The 12372-nt window shown below is 34.5% G+C and overlaps 1 protein-coding gene across 2 annotated transcripts in view; it reads left to right on the top strand.

The window, feature by feature from the left end:
• MMP16 (matrix metallopeptidase 16) overlaps window positions 1-12372 on the top strand; it is a 295473-nt gene that overhangs the window by 200541 nt on the left and 82560 nt on the right. For both annotated transcript variants that reach the window (NM_005941.5, XM_024447154.2), the window contains 2 exons: window positions 8082-8243; window positions 10225-10436. In NM_005941.5, coding sequence (NP_005932.2) covers window positions 8082-8243; window positions 10225-10436 — 374 coding nt within the window. The remainder of the gene's footprint in view (window positions 1-8081; window positions 8244-10224; window positions 10437-12372) is intronic.

Here is a 12372-nt window from a genome sequence, read left to right as displayed (position 1 = left end):
AGTAGTTATTGTTATTGTTACTGAAATTACCACTCTTTGCAGTAAACTATATTCTAGAAACTATGCAAAATATTTTATATACTTGATGGTGTTTAACCTACTAACAACCCTATAATAGGTGATGTCACACCCACTTTACCAATGAAGAAACTGAATTGCAGAGAGGTTAGTAGTTTACTAAATTGTATACAGTCAGTAGTTGAGTCAGGACTTTAAATACGGTATGTCTTTTATTTTTGATATATATGTAAGGTATGCAAAGTAATGATTCCGTATATAAACACTCACACAAACACACTGGGAAGTGATTACCACAATCATGTTAGTTAACGCATTGTTCATCTCACATAGTCACCATTTTTCTTTTTCTGGTGACAAGAACACTTGAGATCTACTCTGTTAGAAAATTTCAAGTATAAAATACAATATTGTCAACTATAACCATCATGTTATACGCTAGACCCTCATAATTTATTTATCTTATAACTGACAGTTTGTACCCCAGTATGTCTTACAGGACTTAAGTAGGGCAAAAATAATTCCATAATCACTTTCAATACTTTGCTAATGCATTCATGTTTTGGGGAAGAAGTTGTGTAGTTTCTCAGATACTTTAAGAGGATTATGAACTCAAAGGAGCTCAGAGATACCGAACTACTCTCAGTTCCTAAATGAAGAACAAAGGCTTGGGTGATTTATCTTTAGAGCTCCAGGCACTCATATTTTCTGACCCAAGTAGAAAAATAATTATATGCTATGATAAATTGTTTATCAATAGCTCAATAATTCTGCATATATTTCCTTGCACATAGTAGATAATTGAAAATTTTTAAAAGAGTTTTTGTCATATATTTGTTGCTGGTCTGGAAGTAGTGGCACATATTACCAGGATTGCCATATAAATAATAATTTGTATTATTATTTTGGAAATAAAAATAATATGGCAATTCAGATCAGTTCCTAAAAAGTGGCTTTGCAATTTATTATGTGATTACTTTTTTTTAAAGCAGTCAGTGAAGTTGATCTCTTTTGCACTAGCTGCAGAGAGAGGCAAGTAGGCCTCCAGAATCATCCTGACCAATCAAACTGAGCTATCCAGGGAAAAAGTGTTGCACAGATAAATCACACAAAAATAAATAACATGAAACATAACTGAGAATGTTCTTAGAATCTTAACTGAGCTCAATCGGAAACAAAAAGGGCTTTGTTTTTAGCATGGTGCAATTAACTATATCCAATCTTGCTTTTCTTCAGCAAGACTTTTATGAATTAAGTAAAGACAGGTCTAATTCATTAAATGCAGATATCATATTCAAACTCTAGCCCAAAGGAATAAAAAGTATAGTTTGGCCTTGATTATTCAAATATTTTCCTAGGTTTTCTACTTTACCTGACTAACGTATACGTAGGTTGTTTTAATTATATTGATTTAATCTAAAATATTTGTTTAATTAAATACTATAAATGTTTGGCACTTACATATTTCTGAAAATACTTTTTCTGATTTTGGAAGACCTGTTAAATGGCAATTTGTTTTCCTCATATTTTAAGTGCACAGTGTTTAACTGTGCCTTATTAGACATGCTTTAAACCACATCCAAACAGATAATTCTAACATTCCCAGCAAACCTCTTTAATTGCTGAATAAATATTTTGAAATATAATTTAAAAAGTGAAGTTCTGTGTACTATACTTATTTCTTCTAATTGTAGCAATACTGTTTTTTTTTCTAATTTTGTAAAAAAAAAAAAAATCTCCAGGACTTTCAGACTTAATTAAAAGTAAGAAGCAATGAAAATGATAAAAGCTCTTTGAGCAGCCAAATTGGACTGAGGAATTTTTATGGACTGAATTGTGTTCATAAAAATTTTGTGGTTAAAGCCACAAAATTCACAGGTTGAAGCTTTAACCCTCCAATCTGATAGTATTTGGAGATCAGGCCTTTGAGAGATAATTAGGGTTGGATGAGGTCACCAGAATAAGGTCCAGTTAATGAGATTAGTTTACTTATAAGAAGAAACACCAGCAAGCTTCCTTTTTCTCTCTGTTTACGAAGTGAGTATGCACAGAGAAGCTGGGCATTGAAGAAGTCAGGAAGAGAGCCCTCGCCAGAACCTGACCATGCTGGTGCCCTGAGCTCAGATTTCTGGCCTCCAGAACTATGAGAAAGTACATTTTGGTTGTTTAAGCCACGCAGTATGTGGTATTTTGTTATGGCATCCAGGACAGACTAAAACACTTCCTAAGTTTTAAAATATTAAGTTTATTATTAGTTCAGTGGAAAAAAGAAATACTGTTATTACAGATGCCTACAAAGAGCTCCTGTGCAGCAGCTGTGTTCTTTGAAGGTGGCTTGACAGGGTGGCCATCGTCTCCTAGGATGCTCAGTAGAGCCTTGAAAAGATGTTTAGGGCTACGGAAAAAGTGGAGAAGTGCGTTTTCTTAGCACACTAAGTTCTTGGTTGTGGACCTGGACTATATGGGGGCTTACATAAGTTTCTGCTATTTACTCTGTAACTTTGGTCAAGTTCCATTGTCAATGAAAGTCATAGTTTCTCAGTCTGTAGAATGGTAATAATAATAAAACCTAATTAATATGGCAGAGAGTAGATGAACTAACACATTAAGTACCTAGTACTCTACTTGGCACGTATGACTATTAACTGATATTTCATTCTATCACTTGCATAACAGATTATAAAAACTATTTTTTTAATTCTGCAAGTGTTGGGGCATAATAATAGTCCTGTGTACAACAAAAGACTTCAAAGGTCTGAGCATATATAAAAATAAATTGGTTTGTCATCAAATAAATCTCAATAAAATGTATCTGACACACGTAAATGCTACTCGCAAGTGCATTGCAAGAAATTTACTCATCAATGCTAAGTAAAAATGATTGCAATAAACATTTTTCATAGTCAAACTATGTCTGACTCAATTGGGGAAAAGCATTTAGAGAAAGGACTGAGGGATGGTTCTAGAGTTTGAGGCACTAGGGGAGCAGCCCAGCCTAGGTGGAATGTTGAGGGCAGGGATGGTGGGCAGGGAGAAGGCAAGAGAGAGCACTTTGAGATACTGGAGGCTCCATGGAAGAGCAGTAGTGTCAGAAAGAGATGCGTGAAAATCCACCCAAGATCAGCTTCTCTCAGCTTCTGTATTGCAAAGCTATGACCTAACTCTTTTTAGGTGACCTGTGCCCCCAGGATGTAAATACCAACTCTGCCTCTTATGGGCTGGCTGACTGAGCAAGTTCCATAGCCTCTGAGAGCTTTACTGGTAAAGCAGGAGTAATGATGTTTAGGTCATGATGTTTCAGTAACAAGTTCAGTGACATTTATAGTTCATAATAGATGCTGAATAAATAGTATTTTATGTTATTTTTTCAGACCCGTCTGTCAGACTTCTCTGGTTCTCTGGCAGGAACCACGTTTTCCTGACCACCAAGAGAGTGGCCCTCTTTTCAGCGAAGTGCAAAGAGAGTAATAGCATAGGTACAACAAAAGTATCAAGTTTTTCAGATTTGAAAAAACACAGGAGACAAGAAAATAGATGATACATCTACCTCTGGAAATTTTCAATCACAGACGTTCCTTCAGACCAAGAGTTATACCAAGCTTTTTGGGTTTTGTAGAGGGGGTTGGAATGGACAATATTTTAATCCCTTGTTTATTTCAGAAGTGCTGTATAAACACTCACATGCTTCAAAGTAGCTTCCTTTCTACTGTTCAGTTTTTTCTTAGAATCACCTCTTAATCCTAACCAAATGGAGAGGAGATAGAGTGCTAAAATACCCCACAGCATTTATCTATTGCTAAATAAAAAATTACCCCAAAATCCAGCAACTTAAAACAACAATTTATTATCTCACATGGTTCTGAAGGTTAGAAATCCAGGAGCAGCTTAGCCAGGTGGTTCTGGCTAGAGTTATTTCATGGATATCCATGTTGGCCGGGGCTGCACTCATATGAAGGGGTTGGAAAATTCACTTCCAAGCTAACTCATATGGCTGTAGAGGAGGCAGGGGTGGGGGGAGGAGGGGAGAGAGAGAGAGAGATAAGATGGAAGTCATGGATGTATCGTATGACCTCGCCTTAGAAGTCAAATACCATCACTTCTGCCATATTTTGCTGTGGCAAACTGATAAAACCCTGATACAATGTGAGTGTGAGATCAGGAGGTGAGGATCACTGTTGTCATCTCGGAGGCTGGCTCCCACATATCTCTTTAGCTTCTCAACTAGAGAAACCAACTGTACACATAGTCTGATAGGGCTGCAGGTTGAGAAGACCTATTCCATCCTATCTATCCACTAAGCACTGGAGAAATTTCTACTAATCACATGTTTGGTGATGATTTCTGATTTTTATTTCTAGATATGGACTGTACTATTTTAAGTATTTATATATTTAAAATTAGAAATCTGTTCAAATTTATTCTGTCAGTCTTTTAACCTACAAGTGAATATTAAGAGCATCAGAAGTTTTCAGGGCAATTATGGTATGTGTTACAATCAAGTTATATATGAAAGGCCAAGTATACACAGATGTAGAGGGACAGAATTGACCTGGGAATTTGGAGAAGGCTTCATGGAGGAGATGACTTTGATTTTTCTTTTAAAATATTAACAAGATCTTGCACAATTGACAGAGGCAAGATAGAAGATATATATTAGGAAAAAAAATGCTGAGTTTCAACAAGTTTTAGAAGACAGCATGCAAAGATAAACTTTGCAAAGCTACAACACTAGGGGAAACTGTAATTCATTGAAACATACATATTTGATAAAAGTGTAAGCAAGGCAAAATATACCAAAATACATTTAACAAAAATGTAAGCAGTGCAATGAGAAATTCAGAACTCCGGGTAGTGATGACCTCTTGAAGGAATGGAAGAGCCAAAGTTTTGGGATCACAGAAACATCAGAGAGAGATTCAGTGATGCTGGTGATATCCAAATATTTTAGTAGGATTATAAATGTTCCATAACAATTTGTATGTATAAAATATTACATGATCATTTTTTAACATTCAGGATATGTCAGCGGAGAAGACAGTATCTGAAAATGCATGGAAGGGTGAAGGAACTTGGAATAAAATATAGACATAATTATGACAAAGAAATGACAAATAATTCATTATCCTTCATAATATAGTTTAATATTCTAACATTGTATTGGAGTATACAAAGGAAAGGAGATTATGGATACAATTGAAAGCAACGAACTCAAAACTCAAAATCTTGCAAAAGAAGCAAGTACTATTTCTGTATTAAGAACCAAGAGACTGATTTCTCCTTTGTTGCCTGCTTGGTGATAAAATCAAGGCATATTACAATTAAGGATTTTGAATAATGTGAATTAATGATAAGTTACAGCAGCAGTTATTATTTTCATCATTTGGAAAGAGGTCCAGTGCATTTTAATTGTCTGAAGCTTGTCATGTGCCAACAACTTTTGTTCCTAGTGGAATTCAAATCACAGGGCAGTACTTTATTGAACAACTTACCCTTTTAAACTATTGTGAAGCTGCAAGTAAGGTTTAATTACATTATTGCCAATCATCTGAAGAATGGTAATTACTTGGAGCCCTTGGCCAATGTTTCTGATTAAAAGTGCTGTAGAGTACTCGACAGGTCGTAAGTTCATATCCTGGTTCTATTAATTTTCTTCTAAAGCCTTACTTTATTCCTGAGACAAGGAATGACTCCACCCTTGGAAACGATGCTTAGGAAAATATGAATGATCTGAAGCGAACAGATACATGAAACAGAATGGCTTTGGCTGTTATGACCTGTTTGCTATTATGTCTGTGTTGTTTTTGTCTTTTTGTATTCCTCTTTCTAGCCAAAAACGGAAAAAAAAAAAAAAAACTGAGAGCAAGAGACTATTTTCTTGTGAGAGGTTTGAAGTACCTTTAATAATTCAGCTAGGCTCCTAGCCAAAATTTTAGTTTTGACTGAAAGCAATATTTATCTGCATAAGAGTAAGACTGACTTCCTATGTGTTTAGGAACACAGCAGGGTCTGTTTTTTCTAGTGAAGGGGACCTGATATGCAAGGAGGAGGGGATGAAGTTTGGAATTTTTTTTTTCCCTGTAAAGATTAAAACAAGATATAATCCCTGTAAGTCTACATTGGGACTGTCTGACCAAGAAGTTGCATCAGTTTTGCTAAAAGAAGGCCAGGAGTTTCTGAAGCTATTTTCTGAGTCAGCACTGTCTTCTGACTGAGTTCATGTGTGACTAGGCTGTTCATGGTGAACTTGAATACCAATTCCTGAGTTTTCTGCTGTTCGTTAGACTGCCTGGGCTTCTTTTGCTCCTTTGTCTGCTTGATAAATCTTTGTTTTGCCATTCAGTCTGCTCTTGGTGAAAATATCCTTTCACTTAGCCCATTGATAGCATACTCCAGCCAAAATTGACCCATGTTTTCTGGGTGTGGGCATGCTCCGAAGCTATCCTTCTTCCACTTAACATGTTATTTAGGGTAGCAGTAAGCCACATGGTTATCAGATTTGTATTTTAACTAAGGTGTCTCTGATTTGAAATTACAAAGATGTTCATTTTAGCATTGGGATTAGATGTTCCATATCTAAAAATGAATATAGCTTCTTTTCTTTCCAATGATCCTCTCACCTGTGAGTGCCCCCTAAGGCACAATCCTTAGTAGTCTTCTCCCTAAATTACATACTTCCAAACACTGTCATAGTTATGTAACTCTTCATGAATAACTTCCTCCTTCCTTCTGTTTTCTTTTTTTTCTTCCTCCTATGACTATGATGTTCCCTAGACAACCCCCAGTAACCATGCTCTATTAGTATTTTTAATCAGGTAGACCACAGGAAGTACTGTCAGTGGCTCATTTTTGCTATGCTAATGTCATATGAAGAGTCAGTCTCATGATCTCATCTATTCCTCTGTGACAGACTACTCCAGAGTAGAAAAAATGTTGGTTTTTCGCCTGGCTTTTGGGTTCAAAAAATAGTCTTCTGAAGGCAATTCTTATAGTACATTATAAAAGTGGTTGGAAAGGAGTTTTCATAGAAATGATGCTTGAAATTATTAAATATTTGCATTTGTGGCAAGTATTCATGTGAAATATTAGCCTTCATGTTCAATCACATTAAACTTTTCACTTAGAAACATAACCCTTAGAAATGTAACAGCCCCAGCTATTTGATACACCACGTTGTCCAAGTAAATTTTTAGCATTAAAAATATAGATGTAAGACCACCTTTTTCTCCCATAATGCATATGGTTATGATGATCCAGGACTGAACAAAATGTAGAAGTCATCAACGGGGTTGATTGCATAAAATCACACCAAATATCTCTGCAGAGTTTTTACTCAATAGATTTCACTGTACAAGTTTACCACAGGTGGAAATTTTCAGTGATAAACAGCAGCTCTTAAGATAAATGTATTTTGTTCAGATTACATATGAAAAGATTAGAATTGGTATTTATAGAGCTAGGACTATAATTCTAGTTAGTATGACTAATAGCCTATAGATTTTATTTTACATTATTGTGTTTCTTTATTCTATGCTAGCAAAAAAATAAAGCTTTAGTCTAGGAGTCAAAATATCTTGAGTCCCAATCTCAGCTCTTTGCTGTTCCTGACAAGACTTGTCATCTTCATGCCTTAATTTACTCATCTTTGTAAAAGTAAGGACAGTATCTGCCCTATATTTTTTACTAAGTTGTTAGAATCATATTAAATGTGAGACATATAAAAGTAAGATGTTTCACGTTATGTGTTTCATAATTAGAAGAGTATTTTGACAGGAGTACTATCAGTTTCCAATGCTGCTGCTCTTCAACTTTTATTCTTTGTTCTTCCCTTTTGGATTCTAAATCTCTGTGACTTTATCACCGCCACCTCTTCCCTTGACCCTTTTTTGAAAAAAGGTTATTGGATTTTTGCCAGTAGGAAAGCCAGTGATGAAACCATACAAATAGTTGAAGGAAAGAGTACCTCCTATTTTTCTTGGGTAAAATGTTGATAATACCAAATTGTCCTTTTCAATTCTGTATTTGGATATTAGTTACAAAAACTTATTTTCTTCTTGTTCACACAGGAAATGACTTATTTCTTGTAGCAGTCCATGAACTGGGACATGCTCTGGGATTGGAGCATTCCAATGACCCCACTGCCATCATGGCTCCATTTTACCAGTACATGGAAACAGACAACTTCAAACTACCTAATGATGATTTACAGGGCATCCAGAAGATATATGGTAGGTTACTACTGTTTCAATTTGCTTAATCCGATAGTGAAGTCCAGAATTTCTGCTGTGTTTTCTTCTTTGAGATAGATGCTCTAAGTATAACACAGATGACTACAGAAAAAGTATGTAGCTGGCCTACTGGCAAAATTATTCTATCAACTGAATTTTGTTGGCAAAGGTCCCAGGTATCTTAATGTATAGATTATGGGAACATGTTAAGCACTGATGAAATTTTCTTACTTACTGAGTTTGGTTGAAAAACCTGCAGTTACGGCAAAGTTCTAATAAACTTTAGTTTTTAAAATTCAGGTAAAAATATGTAATAAATGAATGTAACAAAAAAAAACAAGGAAAAATATAAGACTTTCATAAATAAAATGCTGAGACTTTTCTACAAACTGACAGATTGACTCATAGTTTGTGAGATTTGATGTTAGGTATTTCCTAGACAAAACACTTTTGAAGGCCCACAAAATACCCTTATGTGATAGATGCAAGAAATTGACCCCAAAGTCATATAATGATTTATTGACCTAGAGTAAGAGTTAACAAACAAGGGAGTGAAATTAACAAGTGGTGAAGTTTATTAATACAGAGTACAAAACAAATTTTTAGTATAGTAATGTCATTTTTATTCACTCAATGAATGCAAATTAAGAGAAAAGGGGAAAGACTATTATGCATATTTACTATAATCGTAACTTCCTCATACAACCATTGACCTTTATAAAGACATTTATTTCACACATAGTTGCAAAGAACTTGACATTTATAATTTACATATAGCAAATATGCTTTATACTAAATTAATGAAGTGAAGCTTTTGTTTTTATGATACAAAGACAAATGTGTGCTATCTGTATGTTAATATCCAGTATCCAGAAGATAGATGTCTTTTGCATTTTTAAGCAGCATAGTTTAAGTTCACTAATTCGTTTTTGCATTCATTAGTTTTTTTTTAATTTTAATAACTCAGTGGTAAGTATTCTCTCAGGGGTAAAATAGATTTGTAAAAAAAGGTCAGTTTTTGTGCTGCTCTTTAGTTTGCTGGGATACCAAGAAGAGAGAAATGTCTGACTCAGTGCTAAATATCTCTTATGTTGAATTGAGCTATCCTATTTCTAAGTGTGTGTCATCAGAAATTCTTCTTAAGTGGTTCACTGAAAGAAGTCTCTTTCTCATGACCTCATGAATTAGTAGTCTAGACTGAAGGTCTGCAAAAGAATATTCTTCCCATACCTAAATATTAAGTGCAAACAGCTTTACATTTCTTTTTAAAAACATGAATCTCTTGAGAATGATGCTTTACATCTGTACCAAATTACATGTGTAAACTTTGGCTTGATTTAGAAGCCTCTTTTGAGAAATACTTCTTCACATTAATATTTTACTGGTGATATTTTAATCAATAGGTATTTTAGATTCACGACTTAGAGGAAACACTCTTCCAGCAATTTGTCAAAATATTTCATTAGAAGAAAACAGTGAAAATCAATAAAAGAATATCAAATAGTTTTGACACATTGGATAGAATAAACTTTGCTTAGTTAACGTTTATCTTTTGGAAATATTTGAATAGAATCATTATCTATCGAAATCTAGGATTAACTTTGTTGGAGCTTACTTACATGGCTCCAGTATTCCTTTTCATTTATTTATTATTTATATACCACCTACTTCCAAAAAAGATCTGAAGGCAGCTTTCCCAAAAATAACTGTGGTGAAGCTATGAAAAATATTATTAAAAATTAACAAAGAAAACCTAGCTACCTGGATCCAGAAGCTAGCATGATAAGGACGGTTTCAGATAGGCTTGGCAATGCTTTTTTGGGTAAGATATTTTGTTTTTTTCAGAAAATATACGATCTTAAAGACCTCTTAGTTCAGTTAGTCTGTGCCTTCTGCTGATAAGTGATTGTTCTCTGTAGCATATTTTCCAGCTCTATTCCAGTTTTAAGTGAGCCAAGCACTGTCCTCATATTTTCAAAAGGTCCACCTGACAAGATTCCTCCACCTACAAGACCTCTACCGACAGTGCCCCCACACCGCTCTATTCCTCCGGCTGACCCAAGGAAAAATGACAGGCCAAAACCTCCTCGGCCTCCAACCGGCAGACCCTCCTATCCCGGAGCCAAACCCAACATCTGTGATGGGAACTTTAACACTCTAGCTATTCTTCGTCGTGAGATGTTTGTTTTCAAGGTAGGAGACTGTGATTTTTTTTTTTTTAACAGTAGATCAAGTGTCTAGTGTTGCTTTAGAAAACAAGTTCTCATTCATTCTAACACTACCTTCCCAGCCCTCTCACAGTTAGAAAGTTCAAAAAAAGCATTTTAAAAAATAAATGCACAAATGGGCTTAAATGTCTAGCAGAAGATTGCTGTAACGTTCTATTTTGGGAATGCATTCGTGTCAGCAGAAGCTAAAATGCCTAAAATGTGAGGGTAAAAAAAATGCTGCATGTTATGAAGAGATAAAATAGCATAATTTGAATCATGAATAGGAACTAATAGGGATGATTTGCTTGGGAGCTTAGGCACTTCCAGGCATACTGCAGCTATTGTATCTTTGGTTTACATATCTTTATGAGATCCCTGTAATTTCATTTGACTACTAAAGCATTGTTTTACAGGAAGAGCATTGATCATTTTGTTTGGGGTCCACGGGTAGCCATTTGAGTTAAATCTCCTCTATGAAGCTATCATTTTGACTTTACATATGAATGTTATTGTTTTGATATTGTTAGGCAGTTATATCTAACTAATTTATATTATTTTTTTAAAAGGCTACAAGCTGAAACTAATTTTACATTTGCAAAAATACTTTTAATGTTGGGGTCTCAGAAAATAACACTAATAAACAGTATATCAAAAGTAAATTATGTGATATTGGAAGGTGAATATAATACTGAAAAATAGTTTTCCCCTCAGTATTTGTAAGCCAGTCTTAAAGATTAAGAAAGTAAGTTTGTATGTTGGCAGTAGAGTATTAAAAGAGCCACATTTTGCCAATATTATTTATTTTAAAATAAAACAATGTGCTGTCAGTTTTGGTGGACATAAATCAATAAATAATCCAATGCTGTTCTACTTACATACTGTCTATGTAATTTTCTGTCCACCAGAAGCTATCATTTAAAAATACAGATTTCGTATAATTTTAACTAGATAAAATACTCTATTTTCTTTTTTGAAAAATAAGATCTGGATTCGATATAATATGCATAAAAGCATCATGCTTTCCAGGAAAAAAATCAATGTGTTTCTTCAAGCACATGAATAGATTTTTGAATTCTATAACTGCCCTGCAATACGTAATTTGATATCGCCATTCTATTTCAAGTAGTTTAATAAACTTAGATTCAAAGAGTAAAGAAAATCTTACTTTTGATACTCATTGTGTTACTCTGTGTTACTCATATTGTTACTCATTGTGGCTAAGCCCACAGCAACTAGTTGAAATGAACTCAAAGTGCAATCTTTTGTTTATTCTAAAAGACACCTGATGAAAACTGAAGGGTTGGCAGAATTTCAACATTGCAGGCTTTATACCTTGATACCATAATAATAACACCAAAACATCAACCTTATCTGAGAATATGATGTGAAATTGACTCTGGGTACATTATTTTTTCATTATTCCTGTCTATCTAAGTAGGTTGCTGATTTCAGAGGAGCCTGGTGTCTTCATATCTAGTGATCGCTTTCAACAGCCTCTTTGCTCTGCACATTGTAAAAGTTTAGTAAGTGCTGTTGACTAACAAAATAAGGTCCTGTGATCACTGGTTCCTGAAATCAGGAACTGATAAAAAGTACATGGATCAGACTCTCAAGTAGAATGCAATAGCTGCTATTTCCAATATCAAAACAGGTATATAAAAAATATAACTAAGGCCTGCTTCCTTAAACTCTGAGGTTATCTTGAATTCCTTTATCAAAATTCCTGACAGGACAGAGTTTCTAAAATCTGCCCAATTTTCATTTTGTCAATAATTCCAAGAATTATTGCTTTCTTTCTAAGAATAATTTCTCTGGAAGATAACATCTTCTAATAGGCATTTTGTTCTTTGTAATATCCATTTGCCTAGAGAACGTTTTGTCACATAATTTCATACTTTTTGTTTTTATCTCATCTTTGA

The sequence above is a fragment of the Homo sapiens genome, chromosome 8, assembly GCF_000001405.40.
Source record: "Homo sapiens chromosome 8, GRCh38.p14 Primary Assembly".
NCBI classification, from domain to species: Eukaryota; Metazoa; Chordata; class Mammalia; order Primates; family Hominidae; genus Homo; species Homo sapiens.
The sequence above is the reverse complement of the archived record's forward strand: the minus strand, read 5'-3'. Positions and strand labels throughout refer to the sequence as shown.